The sequence below is a fragment of the Homo sapiens genome, chromosome 5, assembly GCF_000001405.40.
Source record: "Homo sapiens chromosome 5, GRCh38.p14 Primary Assembly".
Classification (NCBI taxonomy): domain Eukaryota; kingdom Metazoa; phylum Chordata; class Mammalia; order Primates; family Hominidae; genus Homo; species Homo sapiens.
In genome coordinates, this window is record NC_000005.10 from 129,429,071 (window position 1) to 129,453,541 (window position 24,471).

The 24,471-nt window shown below is 36.7% G+C and overlaps 1 annotated feature.

Annotated features, from left to right (window-relative positions):
• Positions 19,649 to 20,215: an enhancer, noted in NCBI's record as "NANOG hESC enhancer chr5:128784412-128784978 (GRCh37/hg19 assembly coordinates)". NCBI's record gives its function as "activates a minimal SCP1, AML or CMV promoter by ChIP-STARR-seq in naive H9 embryonic stem cells {active_cell/tissue: H9 hESC(naive)}" and the evidence as "EXISTENCE:reporter gene assay evidence [ECO:0000049][PMID:30033119]".

The following is a 24,471-nucleotide window of genomic DNA, read 5'->3' on the forward strand; positions in this document are numbered from 1 at the left end:
CTTTGTTGTGCTAATTTTATTAGTATTACTAATATTTTGGAGATATATTTCAACCAATATTATCATGACATTGTTTCTGATTCCAGACAATCATATTATAACTCCAGGTTACTGCTCATTAAAAAAAAAAAAAAAACTAGGGCAATACATTGTCACTTAATCTACATGCTTTGTTCTTTGCTCCTTTCGAACTGTATCTTCTCCTTAATGATAAAACCAAATTACTACACTATCATTAGAACAATGACAGTTTTACTGACTACACAGGATTTCAGATTTTATATACGGCATCAAAATCAAGAAATCAAGTCAAGTGGCCGGGCGCGGTGGCTCACGCCTGTAATCCCAGCACTTTGGGAGGCCGAGGCGGGCGGATCACGAGGTCAGGAGATCGAGACCATCCCGGCTAAAACGGTGAAACCCCGTCTCTACTAAAAATACAAAAAATTAGCCGGGCGTAGTGGCGGGCGCCTGTAGTCCCAGCTACTTGGGAGGCTGAGGCAGGAGAATGGCGTGAACCCGGCAGGCGGAGCTTGCAGTGAGCCGAGATCCCGCCACTGCACTCCAGCCTGGGCGACAGAGCGAGACTCCGTCTCAAAAAAAAAAAAAAAAAAAAAATCAAGTCAAGTACAAAAATGATTTAAGTTTTGTAATGCTTTCCCCCCTTGTGACGATGTTCATGCCATTCCTAACAAAGAAGGAAATAAAGTGGGAATTATAATCATGGACACTCTTCTTAAAATTCTTAGATTAATCTGGCTACCCAAATGAAAACATGCATCCACACAAAAACTTGTACACAAATAGTCATAGCATTATTCATACTAGTCAAAGAGTGGACACAACCTAAACATCCATCAAATGATAAATGGACAAACAAAACATGGTATACCTATAAAATGAAATATTTGGGAATAGAAAGAAATGAAGCAATATATGTGCTATATCATGTTGGGTGAAATAACCAGTCACTGGAAACTACATAGTATATGATTCATTTATATAAGAAGTCTAGAATGTGCAAATCTAGAGAGACAGGAAGTAGACTAAGGGGTAGCTGGGGCTAGGAGGTGTAGAAAGAGGGAATGGGAAGTACTCAACTACTGAAGTTGAGTACTTCCTTGGGTTGCTTTACAGGGTGATAAAAATGTTCTAAGGTTGGATTGTGGTGATATTTGCATAACTCTGTTAATACACTAAAACCACCAAATTTTACACTTCAAAGTGGTGAATTTCATTGTATATGAAGAAAAATTGTCTACTTTAGCATCACTTTACTGAACTACCTAGGAGCTCCATGCTCCAACTTATTTCTTAGAAACTGTGAAATGAGAAAGTACTTTCATTAATACAAGTTCAAGTTTCATGAGCTCAAAGGAACTTTTGAATTCATAATAATCAAAAGCTACCCCAAGATGTTGTGGAGCTAGATTACTTAGGATTGAATCCTAGTTCTGCTAGTTATAAAATGTATGACTTTAGACAATTGATATCTTCATTCATCTTCAGATTTAAGAGTATATAATACTATCTAGCTTATAGGTAAATTCCTATTTTGTGCAGTTTTAGCTAATGGGATATGGTTCAAATAGCTGAAGTAAGTCATGTGATAGTTGGAACCCCTCGTTTTATAAATTTAATATTATTGGCATGATGCTTTAAAGAAGTTATGTAGAATTGCACAAAATCATATAGTAAAATGAGATATTTTATAGCTCAGTATTCTCAACTGTAAGATATCAAATACTTTCTACTTATATTTAAGAAATAAAAATTGGATTTCATTTTTTTCACTTAAAGAACTACTTTATTTTTTCATGGAAATGTGTCTCACTTTAAAATAATTTAAGCAATTTAGTCTTTATAGTTTTTTTGTTTCTTCTGAAAGGGGCAATTAGATAAAAGGTAAAGAATATACTTTTTGTTCATACGCTGATTGTTTGAATTGATAGACACTAAAAATAAATTTTGTGTTTAATTCAGTTTATATGAAATGGGTTATCCCAAATAAACATTTATGAATTTTGAAGGCACATAATAGTGATCTTGAGTTCTAACGATATGTATTAAATTAGCCATTTTCATCCAGCAATCTCTAGTGGGGATAATAAAAAGAATTGTAACAAACACTTAAGATGCTAAATTTTCCAAATATTAGAAATAGACACAAATATAAAACAACTCAATAGTTAAATAAAATATTTTCTGCTGGGTTTTATTTCATGCTTTTGATTCCCAGGTAAGATTTAAATTGATTCAGGAAAGTGATCACAAAATTATGTATATTTGATTTGCTGACTTGGGAGACAAAAAACAAGAAAGTGAACAACAAAGAAGGGGAGAGAGAAAGGAAATGACAAAGACATACTAATGGCACTCTGGTTAGCAATTTTGAAAAGGGTAACAGATTATTTGATCTTGATATAAACATCCTTCTATCATAAAGCAGATATGCAACTATGGTCACTGAGCTGGAATGCAAAGTTTTATAGTCTGAAAGCAATTTATGCAACTAGTGTTTAAAAATACTGAAGTCATTTAGAAATGTAAACTGAAAAGCTTTTTAAACAGCATCTTTCTTATATGGAATGAAAGGGATAGGAGCAACATACAAACTTTGACATTTGACTGCATTTATAATCCTGACACATTTGGTAAACATTTTGATAACATTAACTTCAAGCTTAAAGAAATGGCAAGGATATGTTCAAAACTTGGGTTTCTTAAATTTTATATCTGATCAGTTACATCCCTAACTTTTTACATCATCTTCCAAGAAGAAAATATCTGATTAACCCAAGAATCAGTAGTTTCCATTAGCAGAGTTCTAAAATGTACAGCTTAAATATAGAGCAAATAAAGAATAGTTGTAATTGTGGTGTATATTTCATTTGTTCATTCTCCTCAATTAAAGCAAACATATCCCATATATTATTTCAGTTATACCTATTTTATTAAAATATATTCTGTGAGATCATATTCGAGCTATTATAGACATAAGAATTTAAAAAAACATGCTCACCTCTGTTTAAAAGCCCCTAGTCAGTGGAAGATACACACATAACAAATAATGGATTTCAGTTACCTATAATAAATGCCATAATGGAAGTATTTAAGAGCCCTAGGAAAACACCTGGAAAGGAGAGGTAATTATTACCTTAGGAAATCTAACAAGACTCCTTTAGTAGATAACAATTAGGCTGGCCTTTAATGGAAGGGTAGCTAGACAAGTAGCTATGGGTGATCAGGAAAAAAAGTAGAAGAAAGGTACAACAGGAGATAATAGTGTAAACAAAACAGGGCATAGTCTTTAAACAAAAGATTGATTGGTCTGAGCCTCTTTATTCCTCTACAATTCAGTTTTTCTCTCCCTTTCTGGATATCATAATTCAGCAAACTGTTAAGCAGCCATCCAGCATTTTTGCCACACTTCTATGTTCATAGATAATTTCCTAAGACTAACGCCATATTGAAGGATTCAAGAAAATATGACAGTAGCTTGATTCATCTTGGTGTAATACTAATCTTAAAAAACATATAAACAATCTATATGACAAATATTGCTTGATGCTTTTTAAAAATTTATATGGACTTATGTGGTACATTGTAATAACACTGCAGCTAACAAAGTTGAGAGAATTCTTACTATGCAAATACTCAGGTCATTATTTGCATACATCTCGAAAAAGTTAAGTTCTTTCAATATAGTATATATACAAAATTAGCCAACAGGAATATTAATCATTGGACTATGTCTCATGCCAATATAGAAAAAGCCCCTAAACTAGCTATCATGAAAATTACCGGAGTCATAGAATAGCCAGGCCTCAGAAAATCTGGGGACTGGCTAGTTTTTCAACATCCAAAGTAACCCTACCAACTATCTCCTCAGAATCAGAAACCTACCAATACCCATTTTGTTCATAGTTATCGGCTACTTTATTTGTTTCTTCACATTGTATATCTCCATCTTTGGCTTATATTGCTGCTACCAAACCAATATCACTCTTTTCTGTAAAGGTGTTTTTGGCTTGTACTTATACACAGATTCTGTTTACTCCTGTCCACTGCTACTTCATGGTCTCTTTTTCCCTCTCATCACTATCTATTCCCACTACCAGGTTGTAGTAGTCTGTTCTCATGCTGCTAATAAAGACATACCCAAGACTGAGTAATTTATAAAGAAAAAGAGGTTTAATGGATTCACAGTTACACATGGCCAGGGAGGCCTCACAATCATGGCAGAAAGCAAAAGCCATCTTACATTGCACCAGGCAAGAGAGAGCATGTGCAGGGGAACTCTCCTTTAGAAAACCATCAGATCTTGTGAGACTTACTCACTATCAAAAGAACAGCATGGGAAAGACCTGTCCCCATGATTCAATTACCTCCTACCAAGTCCCTCTCATGACACATGGGAATTATGCGAGCTGCAATTCAAGATGAGATTTGGGTGGGGACACAGCCACGGCATATCACAAGCAAACGACTTCTGGCTACTTACAGTTCAGATTGCTAAGAAAAAGAAGATGTGTAGTCCTTATGCAGTTTTTACACTGATAACTAACTGCTCTTGATTTACAGGCCAAATCTAATGTAATCACATTTAACCACAGCGATGGCAGCCTTGTAACAATGTCATGTCAACTTACACAAAAGGAAATTCTGAGGCTAGGTGTAATGTACACGTACTTTTCAGAATACTCAATTCTGTTACGAAACGTGAATAGGTCTACAGTTTGTAAAATATAAAAATTTTTCATGTTTTAAGTATTTAAAAACTAGCTTATAAGCAAAGACCTTGTTAGACATAGGTAGAAATCATAGGCGGTATTAAATATAAGGGATTAGAATATAAATGTTGAACACAGAAAATAATGGACAGATCAGAAGATACATAATATTCATAAGGTCCTTGTGTACAAAAGATTTAGGATATACTAAATATTGAGAATGTAGTAAATATGCATGAAGCATATGAAACACTCAATATTCTTGAGTAATTAGTTGGTCACCGATTGGAGACCCCCTCATTCTGGCCTCATATCACCCCTGCCCAAGAAATTCAAATGAAACTCAAAACTGTTCAGCAGGCTATTGACAAGCTACAGATCTGACAGGTACTGTCCCTGTGTTTCTCTCATAAGAGAAAGTTTATGTCATTGGCCTGGGCCACCTTCCATTTGTGGGCCCTCTTTCTCACATCTAAACTTACCAGTAACCACACCATCAGGGCGGAAGGTAGAAGAGAGAAAGGCAGGACATACGAACATAACATACCCCAAGATTCAGGAAATGTGGTCCTCTCACCCCACGTATGCTATCCTATATGTATTAACTACCTCTGTCTCTTTGCTCTTTCTTCCTGTTAGTGTTCTAAATATGATTCGAGAACATTCGTTTGTGAGCCTTTCTGTTCTGTGACCTCTGAGTTCACTTTCCTGGTACTTTACTTGGAGGTTACCATTGCATTAAGGTAATTTCCCACATGACATTTGATTTTCCCAAGACTCATAAATAAGACATCTTTATTTTAGGTTTGTTGCTTAATATCACCCAAGTGGAGTATAAAAAGGATATAAAACAATAGTATACTAGAAACCAGAGGGAGAGCCTTGGAAAGAAGGGAATTTTATTGCTCCTTGGCCTTTTGGCTAAGATCAAGTATAAGAAGGGAACTTAACGTTCACCTCTTTGTATTCTTTTTAGTATGAAGTAAAAAAAATACCCTCATAGGGTTCTATGTTTAATAGCTAGTTGTATTTATGTTTTATATTTTGTTACTAAGAATAATATAGCTTCTAATCAGGATCTTTCCATTATTGATTTAATGCAAATCCATCAGTATTTGCATTCTACAAAATATTATACCTCAGCTATATTATTACTCTAGTCAAATTTGCCTGAGAAACCCAATTGCTTTCACCATCCCAACATAGTAAAAATTGATATGATTGAAATTCATTTTGTCTTTTTTTTTTTTTTTGAGATTGGTTCTCACTCCATCGCACAGACTAGAGTGCAGAGGCGTGATCACAGTCCATTCAGCCTCAACTTCTTGGGCTCGGGTGATTCTTTCATTTCAGCCTCCCATGTAGCTGGGACTACAAGCACTCAGCACTATACTCAGCTAATTTTCAAATTTTTTGTTGAGACTCAGGCTGGTCTCCAACTACTGGGCTCAAGCAGTCTGCTCACCTTAGCTCCTAAACTGCTGGAAGAAATTCATTTTATATCTTTGTAATTTTCATTGGTAACATTTGGAAGAAACAATAGTCCTTGTTCTATCAATGGTATCAGACTGTATCCATAAAACATTTATGTAATAACTCATTGTTCAAGTAGAAAGGGATTTAATGTACATCTAGCTCAATATTTCCATGGTAAATAGGAGTAAACCCCTGTCCATAGAACTGTCACTCTGAAGGCCCTACAGGGAGTTTAAAAAGAACATGGATTAGCAGAATATCTCCTGACTTTGTTTTAATTATTCTAGTGTAACCTGCAGTTGGAATTGTAGAGTTGGAATTTATATTTGAATTACTTCCTATACTTTCTTTATACTCTGTATTAGTTTTCTATTGATGCCATAAAAAATTACCACAATTGTAGTGGCTTGTAACAATACATTTATTATTTTAGAGTTCTATAGGTTAAAAGTCCAACATAATTCTCATGGAGCCAAAATCAAGGTTTCATCAGAGCTCTGTTCCTTTCTGGAGGTTCAAAGGGAGATTTTATTTCCTTGTCTTTTCCAGTGTTAAGGCACCACCTTCTACCACTTTCAAAGCCAGCAATCTTATATCTCTCTGACCCTTATTTTTTTCATTGTCACATCTTCCTAATTGGGGAAAGGGTCTCCCCTTTTATAAAACCAAGTCTTCACTTTGGGTCTACCCTGCTAATCTAAGATAATCTGCCCAGTTCAAGGTTCTTAATATAGTGGTATTTATAAAGTCCCTTTTCTGAGAGGTAGCATTTATATAGGTTCCAGGGTTAAAATATAGACATCATTGGGTACTGTTAAATTCCTCCTACCATATACTCCATCCTTAAAATGATCCAATACTTTTTTCATTGAGGTTTTATAATCATGTTTCTTTAATGGCCTTTTTTTTTTTTTAAAAAAAGGTCAAGATATGAATATCATCGTATTGGAAGAAAAAATACTGAAAAACTTCTTTGGTAAAAATACAGTGATATACTAATGCAACTCTAATAGGCATTATAATTATTGTAAAACCATTGGTGAAACATATGAAGCTATGACAAACCCTCCTCTCCATTCATTGGTAATGATATCACCATGAAACATGGCCATTAGTTAAGGTCCGTTGAATATGGCACGTCTTTCCCATAAACTGCAGGTAAGAGAAGGCTCCAATAACTTACACAATTTAAATGGCTAGATTTCTACTTCTTAAGGACAGAATTCTGGAAGGTCAGGATAAAGCATGCATAGTTAGGACTAGATCAAAATCTCACCAAAAAGTGAAAGTGCCTATTGTAAAGCTATCAAACTTTGACTACTTTTCCTAATATTAAATAATTTGTTTAGTATTAATGATTTGTTAATACTAGGAAGAACAGTCAATCTAAAGTTGTATCTGATAGCCTCATAACTGCTGTGAAAAACAATGGTTTTATGTTGAATTTAAATATTTTGAGTTTATTTTTACTTTTTTGCTCTATGGCAAGGCTATTCCTAATTTTCCTGCTTGATTAGTTACATAGTCCTTTCAATACTCATTTTAGAAATATCCTGTTGCATCTTGCACTTTCATTTGTATTAAGAAAAATATAATGAATAGAGAGGAAATATAAGAACAAGAGGGCCCAGTTCAGACATATCTCTTCACTACTTGAGTGAAGTGAACTAAACTAGATACCATTTACCTAATGTCTAAAACGAAGGAATAGAATTATCATCCCACTTCTTTCAACTTCAAAACACTATTGTACTAATTGATCTAATCTTTTTCAATCTCAATGTGAAATGTGATTTTCCCCATTTCTAACTTGCAGCTAAGTTTTGTCTTTGATGGAAAAGTTGTTGTCTTTACTGCTAAAACTTTTGAACTGTATTAATGCAGTATCTTTTTTAGTTTAGTTTAAAACTAAACATATTACAAAACATATGGATATGTTCTCCTAATTATTAAACAGTAATACTTAATCTCCATTGAGCCACTCTTCTAAACATACTACATGTCTTTTGTTAAAGCTTTACAACACCCAAATCAGCAATGGAGAAATGACATACTAGCAACCCATTTTTGCTATACCTCGGATAGACATTAGAGCTTGCATGATTAAGACTGCTTATTGAACACAGCAGTCAGAACATTGCCTATAGAGAACATTGCAGAATGGGGAATCTGAGTAGCACTTGCCACTTTGTGTTATTAACTTCAACTGTCAATAGGTTACATGTCCTCCAGCTACAAGAAAGGCTAGCAAATGAGTTTTTTACTTCTACCTTGGGGGGGACATAGACAAAAGAAAGAACATTTCTTAAATATATGTTTGGAGCTGGTGGGGAGCCAAAAACATGACAAATATGCACTACTGTGAGAAATAAAAATTACTGAATCCTTAGTCCCTGTATTAAATGGAGAGGCTGATTCATTTAAACATTAGGTCATGCATGCATGTTAAAATTACAAAGATTAAAAAATAGAACCAGAATGAGAAACTTCCCACCAATAAGAGGGGTTACTAAAATATTTAGTCAATATAGTTTGAAAGAAGGAAAAGAAGAAAAAATTTGATGACTGAAATTTCAAAATAAGACAGTAAAAATAAGTCAAAATTTATCAATAATTATTGGTTAAAAGATAGACACACTGAACTTGTAGATAATAATTTTTAAATTCAGCTATATGCTACTTCTAAATCAAAAGATTGAAATTAAGGGGATTTAAAAATATATATTTTATATGTATGTGTATATATATATAATATATAGAAATAAAAAATATATATAAAAGAAAACAATATATACCTCAAGGCAGAAATTGAATATAGCTGTATTATTATTTTTTTAAAAAAGGAGACTTCAGGCTTCTTGAGCAAGGTGGCAGAATAGGAGGTCACTTGGTTGTATAACCCCCACAGCAATAAGAAGTCTACTTTGGTGCATGAACAAGTCTTTTGTGAGAGCCTGGGATTCAGGTAAGAAATCATGAAACCTCAGTGGATCCCAAGACCTAGGAGGGTCATTTTAAGAGTAGAGACCTGGCTGGGCACAGTGGTTCACACCTGAAATCCCAACACTTTGAAAGGCTGAGGTGGGAGAATCACTTGAAGTCTGGAATTCTAGACTAGCCTGGCCAGCGTGGTGAAATCCTGTCTCTACTCCATAAAAAAAAAAAAAAAAAAAAAAAAGGCATAGTGGCACATGCTTGTAATCCTAGCTGCTGAGGCGGGAGAATCACTTGAACTTGCAAGGTGGATGTTGCAATGAACCAAGATCGTCCCACTGCACTCCAGCCTGGGCAACAGAATGACTTCATCTCAAAACACAAAAACAAAAAAGAGTGCAGACCTGCATCCAGGTGGCAGACATACTAATCCTGCTCCTGGGTTCAGACTTGAAAATGGCCCCATTCCATGCCCTGTTTGGCCTTATGCCTGCTGCCAACACTATCCACAAGGGGTCCAGGAGAAAGCACATACACTAATGCCTCAGTCTTGGAAACAGACCTGAAAGTTTCTGTGTAACTTGACTTTTGCCCCCTTTGTCTGTGGTCCCAGCTTAGTACGACTCACACAAGGACCCCAAGAAAGATTTGCCCTTCTGTGCCACAAAGACAATATGCTGCTCTATCTCACCCCACATCCTGAAATGGCCCTGTCTTGGATCCAGTCCCTGTTGCTGCAGTCTGGGAACTATCAGGAAGGTATAGAGATCTGCCAGATTTGCCCAACTGAGTCCCCAGGCAGGCTTCCCCGCCTCTGTCTCACAGCAGATCCTGAAGGGCCTGGTATCAGACTCACCTGCTCTGTGCTGCGAGTAATCTCTCCCATCCAGAGAACTGATGGACTCACCTATCTGTGCCACCATAAGAGGCATGCCAACCTCCATTCCACAGCAGATCCCTAAGGGGCCCTGAAGCTCAGCTTCCACCCTCTTGGCTACAGCCTGAGAGCAATCTTGACAAACAGTGAACTTCTGGGAGACACATCCATTTGTGCCAATGGGACAGGTTTTCTAGCCTCTGTCCCACAGAAGTTTTTGAAGAGGCCGTGATTATCAGCTCCAGATCCTCTCAGCTACAATCTAGGAGCAAATATGTTCTTTTCTATTTCAATTAGAAAGATCATAAACACTTTGTGTTCACATGAAATAAACAATATGGACTTAGAGTTTTACCCCAGAACTGTATTATCCCTCCAGCCCCCTGTCAGAATACATCACAAAGAAGTCTCAATTTTTCTGGACATCCTCCACAACATCACATTGATCTATTACAGTGATAATTCATGTTGATCAGGTCAGACGAGCAAAAAGTTACCAGTATTCCTGAATCTTTTGTAAGTCATGTGAGCTCCAGAGAGCAGAACATAAACTCTATGCCTAACAAACTTGCAAAATTGTAGGGGTTCATTGATCAGGAGCATACTAGGACATCTTTTAAACATGTTAAAAAGATAAATTGACTCTTGCAGGTTCTACCACAAAGAAGGAAGCATAACACCTGGTGGGCCCCTTGGAGCTTTAGAGGCTGCAAATAGCACACCTGGAGGTAAAGCTCCAGCTCATATGCCAGGTGATGCAAATGGCTGCTTAATTTGAATGAGGCTCAGAGAAGGAAAGGCTTCTACAGCAGGTTCAAGCTTAGGCCATATGACCCAGCAGACCCTATAGTGTTGGAGGTATCCATGGTGCAAAAAGAAGCTATGTATAGTTTGTGGCAAAGCCCCTTGGGAGAACACTAGTGAAGACCTGTGAGGCTGTAGGCATGGACGTGCCATCTGCAATGAGAATTATACATGTATTTTCAGAAACAACCACTGGTATATAAGTCCTTCCTGGTAGAGATGGAGGACCTGACTATAGGACATTAAGTAAATAATAGCCCACAGCCATAGTAGCTCATCATGAGCTGGATCTTGTCAGACCCACCCACTTATAAGTTGGGCAGTTGCAGCAAAATTCATCATAACTCTGAAGTGCAACATCTGGGAACAAGCTTGAGCAATATGAAGCCAAAGCAATCTGTTCTAACCAGTGTTCTCCAGAGAGACAGAACCGATAGGATACAGTGAGAGATCTATGAAAAGGATCTTATTAGGGGAATTGACTTACACAATTACAGAGGCTGAGAAATCCCACAATAGGCCATCTGGAAGCTGAAGAACCAAGAAAGCCGGTAGTGTGGTTCAGACCAAGTCCGAAGGCCTGGGAATCAGGGAAGCTGGTGGTAACATTCTCAGTCCAAGGCTGAAGGCTGGAGAGCCTAGGAACTGCTGGTATGAGTCCTAGAGTACAAAGGTGGAAGACCTAGAGCTCTGACATCCACGGACAGACAAGCACTGCCAAGCTCTAGGAGAGAGTGTGCGAGAAATTCTCACCCTTCCTCTCTCTCCAATCCATCTGGTCCCCCAGCCAATTGGATGGTGCCTGCCCACATTGAGGGCGGATCTTCCTCACTCAATCCACTGACACGCACCAATCTCCTCTGGAAACACCTTCACAGACACACCTGGGGCAGTCTAATCATTCTAATCAAAAGTAAAACTACCTGGGTTTCCCTTTCAGCAGAAGCAGAATGGGCTCAGTGCCTATTGAAACATTGAAAACAAACAATTCAACCTATTCATTTTAACTTCAACCTAGTCAAGTTAACACCACAAATCCTACAAGCTTATGAAAAGTAGCCCCAATTCCCCTGGCACCCACCACTGTTGTACCAGCAGCTTTCCCTCAGATCACGCCTAAGGTTGTTTGGGGGCTGACTTAGTGTATGGGTGCATAATGGATGGTAGCTGAATTACAGCCTAATGCAGGGGTGCCCTGAGACAGTGGGGACAATAGGTAGGAAAAACTTTGTTAATTAACAAAGCTTCAAATTATATGTCTGGTCATCTACACTGTGTAAAAAGAAAAAAAGGCCTGAAGACTCACTGGCAGTGGAAAATGCTTTGGATGTTTGACACGGAAAAAAAGGAAAGGAAAAGATTGGAAAGAAAGCTACAGGAGGTATGAGATAGAGGCATATGGATGGACATATGGAAGCAGCACAGTGTGAATATTGTTACATCATATGTTAACACCCATGACAGAACATCCCCCATAAAAGAGGCATGAATTTAAAAGGATCCAGCTGGTGGTGTCAGCCAGCCCATATCATTGGTCACTCCAGTGCTGGCACAATGGGCATATGCACAAAGTGGCCTGAAAGGCAGATGTGGAGACCATCTCTGTGCCCAACAGCATGTGCTCCTACTAGATGACCTACCTAAGGCCAATGTCAAATGTCCAAACAGATAATAATGAAGACCAACATTGAATCCCCATTTTGGCACCATTCCTTGAGGAGCCCACTGACCAGGTGGTGGCTTATTGACCAAATTTGGAAAGGCTAGCAGTTAGTTATCAAAAGAATAGACATTCAGAGTTTGGGTTTGTCTTTCCTGTATACAGGGTCTCAGCTAGCGTCACTGTTTGAAGATATACAGAGTGATCAATCTACTGGCAGAGGATCTCACCAAATACTGCAAAAGACCAAATGACCAACTTAAGAGCAAAAAAGCCTTTGCTTACCTGGCGCATACACAACCAGATGCTATATAATGTAATAAGAAGATGCAGTGAAAATGTTCTAACAAATTGCCAAAGACCAAACATGGCTGGCATCAGAATGTGTAGCTTCTGGGAGCTGCAGCTTGTCCTCCCTGAATCCCAGCACGTGTTCAAGGTGAAGATTAAGGGAAATCCTGAGAAAGCTTCCCTAGCAAAGTCACCTGGGGGAGAGGAACAATTGCCCCTCTTAGAAATTCCAAACAGACCCATCTCACCAATCTTCCTTAAAGAAAAAAGCCATAATCTTCAGGGGAAACAGAAAGAACAATTGTCACCTTAAGGCACTAGAAACCCCTTGCAACTAGGAAAAGGGAATTTAAAAAATAAAATTAAAAGCTCTACGTGGAGGCGGGGCAGGAATACTTGCTAGTCCCAGTACTACAGCTAGAAGAGGGATGAGAATGATTGCAAAGGCCACACTCCACAAGCTCATAGAGACTGCCAAGACTAAGGTTTAACGAGTACATTAGAGAATACCCTTCCTTCCCAGCTTCCCACCACCTAGGTAACAAACATTGAGTGAAAATCACAGTGGAACACAACTGAGAGAGTGGCAAGAGACAGATTCTCATCAGGAAGCAGACATTGAGAAGCACTCTCCAATAAATTAGCCCACACCTAAACATGTGGTATCACTAAAGGCATACAAAGCCTTTAAGCACTGAGCATGACCATAGCAACATCAAAGTTCAACCCAAACCCAACTTTTGACTAGATCACTACAAACTTTCACACTAAAGCTGTAGAGGAAGGAAAAGTATGCTCACCTCCAAGCATAAAATACACTTGCCTCAAAATCTGCTCTGCTATAGAACATGTCTGGCTTCCGACCAAAATTACAAGGCATTTGACAAGTTGAGAATAAACACAGCCTGAAGATACAAAGTAATTATCAGAACAAGACTCAGATGTAACCCAGATGCTATAACCAACAGGGAATTTAGAATAACTATAATTAATATGTTAAAGGTCCTAATAGAAAAGTTATACAATATGTAAGAAAACACGGGTAATTTTAGCAGAGAGATGCAAACTATGGGGAAAGAATCAAATCAAATGTAAATACTAGAAATAAAAAACACAGTAACAGAGATGAAGTGTTCTATGAACTTCAATTTTCAGATCTCTAAAAATGAAATTTAGTTATTTAGCACTTCATACTTCTACCAATATGAAAGTTCAGACTGATTTGACCTATCAAGTGTTTTTAACTTACTAGTATCTCGTTTGGATTGCTTGAGTAATAAAATTAATAAAAACAAGAAAATCCACCATAAAGTTATTTTACTGACTCAGTTGTGTTTAAGACATGTGTATGTGTTTGTGTGTGTAATATGAAAATGTACCTTTTAACTTCATTAAATTTAATCAAAATAGCTGAATTAATTTCTTCATATAGCCCAATTTTGAGTAGACATGTTGGGGTGCAAAGACGGGAAAGGCCTTTGTGTCTGAAACTAAGAATGTTACTTATTCTATAAATTTCTGCATATCACGGAAGTATGCAACCTTTCAGGCAGCAATAATTTTCTATTACAGCCGAAGGTAAACTTCCTGGAGAATTCTGTTAAATTAAGTTGTTCTGTGAGAACACAATACTCTACGTGATATAAAACAGCCTCCAGAAATTTACTAAATCGCTTTCTCATTAAGCTGTATTTTGGAAAGTATAAATGATCAGTTTAAGCATTTCTACTCAGCAGAGTGCACATAAGACAAGATCAAGAAAAACTTGGATGACAATTCAATTAATGTTCTGTGGAATAGTGCTGTTAAAATACAATAATCATGCAAGTTTTGCCCACAGGTACTGCTGTTAATAATACTCTTTGTAATTTGTTAAGTGCTGACAGTGAGCAGGCACAGCCCCTGCCCTGGGACGCTATAATATAGAACTTAGACAGCCAAGGAAAGTTGAATAAACTATACCAGTTAATGTTAGGCTTTGGGGCTTAGGTCCGTCTATAAATTTGTCTTTCTTTTCTCTTCATTTCCTCCCCTTTATTCTTGTAAAACATCTTATATAAAATAAATACCCTACTGTATATTTTTTTCAGGTTTCTCATAGCTAGTTTACATTAAATAATTCATGAGCTAATTTATAACATGTAAAGTCCTTTACAATTGTTTAAGGCGGTATCGCTCAAACTCCGTGACAACTTTTTGCAGAAAGAATTTGACATTAAATTCATAAACATTGGTAAATAATGAAATATACTAATTACTAAAATTATCCTATCTCATTGTCAGTAAAGGGGTTCTATTTTATAATAGTTGGAAAACAAAAAAGAAGAAAAGAAGGAAATAAGACCCGTTAACAACACTATTTGTTCACAGTCGTTGATATCTTTGTTTCACCTAACAAGTTTTCTGTATTGTATTTGAAGTGGATTTTGTTCTAAAGTGAGTTTGCCTTAAGACGTTATTTTTAAAGTCTTTGTTTGAAGTAATCTCAAACATACACATGTATATTTATAATTTTAAACAAATCTTTTATTTAAGCACATAAATATAGAGTAGAATTAGACATTGAACATTTGGAAATCATGAGTTTGATGTTAATTACTGTTTAGATAAACAGAAATACATTGTTACCTTCATAGAAGAGAACTATACCATCACAAAGCCATTTAAACAAAAACCAAGATCTAGCACATATAAGTATGCTTCTAGGATGAAAATCCAGCTTATAATCTATCTTCAATTTTTATGAGCTTATTTATCCTGAGATAACATTTGAAAGGCTTTCCAGAAATAGGAAAGCACACGTTTCTGGTTCTAATTTAAATAGTCATATGTGACCTTAATGTAGTAAGAGGTATTCCAGCCAGGGTAGTTTCTTCTATGGATCAAGTATATTTTTGTTAAATTGTAAAAATTTAAAACAAATGTCTCCCAAGCTGAAAAAAAATCCTCAAGGGCATCATCAGTCATAGGTTTAAAACACATGCCCAAATAATTAACAGCCAAATCATAGTAGAAAAAAATAAGAGCTTTTCCTGAACAATTTGTGGTATTATTTAAAGTCTTCTCTTACAAGGAAATTGTTCTAGAATGACTGAGTTTCTCTTTGCACTTTCACTCAATAAACATTAATGAGTCGATTATGTAAAAGTAAAGAAAAACAGAGATGCATTGAGCACTTTTGTGATTTTATCCTTTAAAAATTCTTTAGATTTTTTTAAGTTATAGAGAATTAAATGACACGATAGAAAATATTATTTAAAAAGCTTTCCTCTCCCTCAAGCTCCCTTTGATGCCCAACATACATTCCCATCTTTTCAGGTGTTTCAACAGTTTGTTGTCTATTCCCCAATTCCTTTCTACATACTCATACAAGCATATACACACACATCTCAAAGGAAATACTATGTGTACTGCATTGTGAATTCATTAAAATATTGTGATATAATTTATACTCCTTTCCATATCAGTAGAAAATGTCCATTATTAAAAAGTAATCGAGAATTTTTCATAATAAGGTGAGCCATAAATTATTCATTCACCTACTGACAAATATTGTGGTTTTCCTCTAGTTTCATGCCACTATGAACAATGAGCAATAAACATCCTTGTACAATATCCCTATGTGCCCTGACTTATGTATCTCTAAGATGGGTTTCTTCAGGTAATACTTCTGAATCAGCAGCATGTGTCATTTAATTTTTTTAAAGATGGCCAGTTCCGTTTCCCAAGGGGGTTCAGCACGCACTTGCAGAAGCAAGGTATGACTACTCCCACCTCTCACATCCTCATTTCCACTGACTCCTGTATTCATTTTATTTCAATGGGTGAAAAAAAAATCAAATCAAGATGTTTTGGCTATAATCCATATTATTCTCCATGGTGAAGTTGGGAAACTTTTCATGTGATTATTTCATGTATGCATTTCCTGTTCCCTCAATGGCTTATTCTATCCTTTACCCACTTTCCTTTTTGACTACTGCTCTTTCAAAACTAATTTATAAGAGCTCTTTTTACATTAAAGATATTAATACTTTGTTTTATGTGTTTTTCTTACTTTTCAAGTGTGATATGTTATAATACACACATTTTTAAAATGAAGTATATTTTTTAATGACTTTTAGTTTTTCTATATTATTTCAGAAGGCTTTCCCAACCAAAGATTATTCAAATATTCCCTGATAATGTAACATTTGTGTCACTTGCATATTAGGGAATCCACCATAATAGAGACTGTGTAAACTTTAGTAAGGAAAGCTGACATTTGAGAGTTTACGAATAGCTTCCATACATTGTCACCCATGATATTTGCTCGCACTCTCATTGATCAAAGACAAATAAGTGAAGAAAGAGGCTGGCAGATGTCCTCAAAGAGTACTGTCCTCTGTAACCTAAGAATGAGCACCTCTTTAACAGAGGGAAGTTAGAATGAATGGAAGTTAGAGATTATTTAGTCCACTTATTGAGTGGACTTTTAAGGAGTATGCATATGGGGCACAAATGTCTTCTACTCTAGGGCCACTTCAAAGTTCAGGTGCATAATGCTTATGTGGGTTTCTTTCTCAGCATCCTTTGATTGGGTTCCTTCTTAATTTCTTACAACCTTGGGAAACCATAAACCGCTGTTCATTAATCAGTATAGAAACTTATTTCATACCAACCCTCTTTCCAGCCAGGTGGACAAAAAAGGTGTAGATTTGATATTCCGTGGGGGATCTTCAGGACTATCCTGGACACGGCTGTAGCATTGCAACAACGCACTAGTGGTTTGTTGAAGACAGCAAATTTCAGAGAAATCCATAAACAGAATTGTTTCTATTGCTGTAGATTTTTAGAGTTTAAGAGAAAAAATTCCCAAATCCATAGCTGCGTATTAATTATTGGAGGCTATACTTGTTTGCCCAAGTAAAAAAAAAAATCACATCTAGAATAGCAATTAACTTTGATTACATTTACAACATTCCATTATTATTCTCCAGGGCCATCTGTCATCTGCACAGGTGAGTTAAGTAGGAATGTGGAAAAAAAAAGGCAACACTCTTGCATCTTTGAAGCCTTTTACAGAGGCACTAATCACTGCGGTTTCCTCAGTAATTCAGGGTTGCTTTGATTTATTATTTTGGTTTGGAGAAGGAGTTCTAATGGTTTACATTTGGTGTCTGATCACAATAGTTCTTACCTTATATGTCAGGAAAACTCCTGATCTTCCAATTCCATAGTATTTCTATTCATAGTACGCATTCAGCAACTGGAGAAAAAACATAGCATTGTGACAGAGATTGCAACATTTTTACCAAAATACATTTCCCGTTTCTCCTTGAGAACATGTTAGTTTATATTTCCTACCCTCCCATGTAATCAGATTTTGCCAAAAGAATGTGAGCCGCCATTATGTGTGCCACTTTAAGGTATTTTGAAAACAGGTCTACTTCCTTTTGTGCCTTCCCCTTCCACAGGCTGGGTGCAGACAACAAGATTATAGGAGATGAGTAAACCCTAAGAAGAAAGGAGCTTGGTTCCTAAAGCATAAGGAACATTGCCTGGTTTGTTACAAAATTGTGAAATAAATTTCTATGATGTTTGAACCACTTTATATTGTTTGTTACCATTGCCTAATGAATGCAGAAAATATATTTTTGTTGTGTTTCAGCTATATTGAGGATTATATTTGTTACTATCATGAATACAGTATAGATTCAGGATTTCATTAGGCCTATCATATCAGACTCAGATCAAAATACATTTTTGACTTTCAGAAGTCCCCACCCAAGCATGTAAATTGCCACGGATATTGAGTCTTCAGGTATTAGTGTGCTCGGAGCTAGTAAGCAACAATAAGGCCTAAAAGATCTGAGCAGTAGTCTACTCCTCAAAGCAAAGTGATCTTAGTAGTACCAGGTTCTCTTCTGTCAGGCAAGGAGGAGGGTTCACTTACAATATTATCATCAGGTCTTCTCAGGGCCGTCCAGGTTTTCCTTCATTCAAGGGCCTGTGGACTATCTGACTGAGCCAGGCTTGAGAATTCAGTAATAAAACGATTATCTTCTCTTATAATGGGTGGTCAGACCTAGAGGATATTTTTGTTTTCTTGTTCTGTTTTGTTTTTATGTTTTTTTAACCCAGAAAAAATAGGTGGCTCTAGGAAGCTGCCTGTTCATTTTGCCTCTAACAAGCCTATGATATATTAGCAACCACCCAAATCTCTGTGGGTCAGGCCATTTGGATTATCTTGCCAGTAACAAATCTACTTTGCCTCTGAGATTAAGTGCCGCTATGTCACCCAGGATTTTAATTGCCACATTGGAGTCAGGGAGACCATTTCAACTGCATCCCATATCAGCACTGGCAGCCTCAAAGAGGAGCCACTAGTGTATTTTTAAATATGCTGATAAGCCTCTCATCAACTCCTGTCATTTCTCAAGGCCTTGGAGAAAGGAGTAGTTTCTAGACCTTCTTGAGAGTCATAAATTTCATATGATCAATGCTCTCTAGCATCGCAATCTCCTGGCCTTTGATTTTTTTCTTCACCAATACACCAAGGAAGTTCTGAACTGAATGGAAGTTAGAGATTATTTAGTCCACTCATAGAAAGCCCGTGAGTTTCAGCACGCGCTTTAAGCTGATAACTTTGAAATTTGGGCCTCTCATTGGCCTTTTGTAAGGCCATTAGAAGTAGATACCCGACCCCAAAATTCTTATATTCTATATGGCAAATATATGGTTGCAGATAATTCTGCTTTCAGTGCATTATTTAATTCCAGGAGATCGCAGACAATAATTTAAAGAAAATCTTTGTCATGATGTGTCATGGACTGACAGATTCTCAGTAATAAATATAAACAATATTCTTGGCCTCCAACTCTAACTACATACAACTCCCTGGATTTTTCTGTGGTCCCTTTGACTGCAACCTGCTCCCCGATACTAACTTGTCTAAGTCATGGTTCTTACTTGTAGCAACAGAACTGGATTCCGGCTCACCTTGGCAAAAAACAGTTTAATGGAATGACGTCATTGTGTAGATTAAAGAATTGATGGAAGGCTAAAAAAAACCAAGCTGTGAAACAAGGAGAAACCACAGGAAGCTGTCATTATAGCCAAGCCCCTGCCGCTGGAACAGCTGGTGAAGATGCTGGTGCATTGTCTCAGGATACTAAACAAACTACTGGCACCATCACCACCACAATCCCTGGACAATTCTGTTGAGAGGAAATCTAAAGTGCTCTTACCTTTGTGTTACTTGTTTCAGATTTGCCACCTATGGACATTCTATTAGCTGAGGTCATAAACCTGTACCCCAGTAGATAATGAGAATGAAAACCTAGACTATTATAATACTCTAGTGGAAATCAATCCCCATTTACCACCCCAAACCAGCACAATTCTTACCTGTGGGATTCCTATAATACATAACATGGGAAGGGGATTCCCATAATTCTCATCTGTGGGATTCACATAATGAGAAAAGAGGTCAAATAGTGGTCAGCCAAAACCTTAACAAATCAAATGTCACAATATCCTATCGACTTTAAATTCTATTTTCATTTCATGCTAATGGTTACCTTCCCATCTCTAGTCAACAAATAAAGGGAGTACTGTTCAAACTTTTTTTCTTTGCCAATGGACCCCTTTTTGTCTAAGAATAATTCTGATAACCATTTTTACTCACCCTTCTGTCTCTCTCTGTCTCTGTTTCTTTCTCTGTCTCTTACACACACACATACACATTTTGAATACCTGAAATAATCATAGAACTGTAAACAAAAAAGGCCTATATCAGTCTCATGTGAGTCAACCTCTTACCTCTGGGAAAACAGTGACATGGATATGGATGGCATTGTCTTTAGTTTCAGTCATTCAATTATCCAATAAACATTTATTGATTATTTAGCAAATGAGGGCATTCCTTCTAAGACTTGACACTACAAATAGTGTTGGAATTAAGCATCTTGCTAACTGGGAGAAAGGTATCACATTGTATAATGCAAGAAGCTTAAGATTTGTGTCAGACACAGTGATTTTAAGTCTTCAGGTAATGATCATTATAGTGATGATCATTGGTACTCAGTGGGATGCAGCTCAAAGGAATGCAATGGAAAAGTCCAAGCAGGGAGCTCTTGGCCCTGGATCAGTATTTCTTAATCTTGGAATTGGAGTCTCAACGGTTCTGTGTAAATTATGAGTGAAACTTTCAGTAGCAATGAAATTCCTGTATATAAGATCTAAGTGGTATGTGGAAAGGCCTAAAATATGGCCTTATATTTTCATAAAGCCAGAGAACTTTATTATAACATACTTTACTGCTTTGAGAATAACATACTTTATTGTTTTGAAGGTTGGGGATTCTCATTTTTAGATTTTTAATCTTGACCTCTTTTACTATTGAGAGGATCTTAAATACCTATTTAGGCAGAACAAATTCCTATATTGAGTTTTATATGTAACCCAAACAAACCTGAGACAGCCATGTGCTACGCTCAGAAATAAAACACAAGTCCCACATGCCTCCTCCTGTCCCAATAAGAATAGAAATAAATTTCATATGCCTTAAATGCATATATGCATAACTCATAACAAAACTTTGTAATAATCTCTTTTATTTATCACTTTTTCCAAAGCCCTTTTATCACTGCATAGAGGTTGCCCCTACAACATTTTGTATTACTTTCTCGAAAATTTCAATAAAACTCTCAAAACTCAGTTTTCACAGACTATTTTCTTTCTTGTTCTTTTTCCTTCCTTCCCAGTTTTTTTATTTTCATTTAAAAATATTGCTCTTCATACTAATAGGATTTGAAAGACCAGCTTTCATTCTTTTCACCCATTACTTGGCCCAGGTGCTGAGCAGGGGGGATTTAACATGTCCATTAGAAGGCAAAAGAGAGGGAAGCCTATATATATTTCTATCTTTTAATTTTGTGTGTCATATATTATTATGCTGACACTCGTCAATACATTTTTCTTTCATAATAGTCTGGAAGGCACAAAACAGTGATTGCATCTAGGGAGCAGAATTTTGGGATGGTGAGGGGGTAGGACAAAGTCATATATTGAAATGACAATTATTAGGTTGGTGCAAATGTAATTGCAGTTTTTGCCATTTGGTGCCATTTGCACCAGCCTAATATAAATAGATGCTATATCAGTGAAGACTGAATAGAAACACCACGTGCTATAATGACATAAAGCAGCAATGAGACCTAACTTGGTACTTCTGATGCTTGCGAAGAAGAAAGGTATGTGAAGAATAAGGAGGAGTTGTCATTGTTAATCTACAGGATGAGAAGGGACATGTTTCCATTAGAGGAAATGGTAATGTATACACAGAGACAGGAAAAACTATAGTATGCTATAAGAATTTAGAAAAATCCAAAAGGGAAGAATAGAATGTGATGGGACTGAAAATACGAAAGGACTGGGATCACGCAGGGCCTTTAGATTTTGTTAAGGAGTTTGAATTTTGTCCTGAGAGTAACTAGAGAATGACTGGAGGATTTTAATCAGAGGATATTATTTTCATTTTAAATGATCACTGTGGCCACAGAGTAAAGATTGGAATGTGGTAGAGCAAAGTGGAAGCAGGAGAAAGGTTAACAAAGTGTTGCAGTGGTACCACGGAAAGATGACTGCATCAGCTTAGTGCTAGAAGCACTAGAGAGAGGTGAGGAATTTAGGAGCTAAAGAAAAGAAAAAGAGAACACACGGACACAGGGAGGGGAACAATTCACATCGGGCCAGTTGTGGGTTGGGGGGCAAGGGGAGAGCATTAGGAAAAATATCTAATGCATGCGGAGCTTAAACCCTAGATGATGGGTTGATAGGTGCAGCAAACCACAATGGCACACGTAAACCTAAGTAACAAACCTACACATTCCACACATGAATCCCAGAACTTAAAAAAAAAAAAAAAAAAAAAAAACCCATGACTTGACTGGTTGGATGTGAGTGATAAAAAGATGCATGAGTTGGCCGGGTGCAGTGGCTCACGCCTGTAATCCCAGCACTTTGGGAGGCCAAAGCAGGTGGATCACCTGAGGTCAGGAGTTTAAGACAAGCCCGGCCAAGATGGTGAAACCCCATCTTTACTAAAAATACAAAAATTAGCCTGGTGTGGTGGTGGGCACCTGTAATCCCAGCTACGCAGGAGGCTGAGGCAGAGAATTGCTTGAACCCAGGAGGTGGAGGTTGCAGTGAGCCAAGATTGCGCCACTGTACTCCAGCCTAAGCAACAGAGTGAGACTCCGTCTCAAAAAAAAAAAAAAAAAAAAAAAAAGCATGAGTCAAGGACGGCTTCTTAGGTTCATGGTTCGAGCATTTGGGTGGATGATAGTGACTCTCACTTACCTGTGGAATCTTGAGGAAGGTCCCTATTCCCTTAACATTTAGTCACTAATGGCTAAAAATGAAACACTGAGAGTGTCACATATTTAGCTTAAGTCTTTCTGTAAATAGAGTCATCGAGATATAATTTATATACAAAACATTTAACCATTGTGAAGTGTACTATTTGAATGATTTGTGAAAAATATATACAGTTGTGTAATGAGTACCTTAATTGTGATAAAGAAGATTTTTATCACCTAAAATAGTTCCCTCATAGCCCTTTTCCCTCTTTGCCCCCAAGACCATCCCTAGCTCCTGGGACTGAACTGCTTTAATTACTTCAGTATTATCTTTTCTCCACTTTCATATAAAGGGAAGCTTCTTTCACTTAGAATAATGCTTTTGCAATTCATCCATTTTTGCATGCATCAATGGTTCTTTTCTTTTCATTGCTGACTTATGTTCTGCAATCTACTACAATTTGTCTATCTATTCATCAGTTGATTGACATATAGGTTTTTAGTTTGGGGCCATTATAAATAAAGCTGACATAAAATTCACATGAAAGTCTTGTGTATACCTACATTAATTTTTCTTGGGTAAATATCTAGGAATTGTGTTGGTGAGTTGTTGGGTAAATGTATATTTAAGAATCATAAGAATCTGTCAAACTGTTTTCCAAAGTGTCTATGCTAATGCTTTCACATGAACAATGCATGAGAGTTTCAGGTGTTCCACACCCTTGCAAACATTTGGTAATGTAGATAATTTTTATTCACTCTAATAGGTGTGTAGTGTTGTCTCCTTGTGGGTTCAATTTGCACTTAACGTGCATTGTCCTAGTTACTAATAATGTTGGCTATCTATATACAAAAATATGAACCTTGATGCTTATCCTACCTCATTTATCAAAATTAGGTCAAAATGGATAATAGTCCTAAAATTAAGAGTAAAAATTTTAGATCTAGAAAAAAAGTAGGAGAAAAGGATTTGATCTTGGCTTAGGAAACACTTCTTAGAAAACCAGAAAGACATTCTATAAAGGACAAATTAATAAATTGGACTTCATCAAAATTAAAAACTTTTGCTCTTTAAGATATCATTTAGTAAATAAAGGGCAAGCTACAAACTAGGACAAAATATTTACAAACTATGTATCTGTTAAAGGATTTTATTGAGAATATCTACATACAGTCATGCAACACTTATTGATGAAAAATTACATTTTTATTTATTTATTTTTTGAAATGAAGTTTGGCTCTTGTTGTCCAGGCTGGAGTGCAATGGCGTGATGTCAGCTCACCGAAAGCTCTGCCTCCTAGGTTCAAGCGATTCTCCTGCCTCCACCTCCCAAGTAGCTGGAATTACAGGCACCC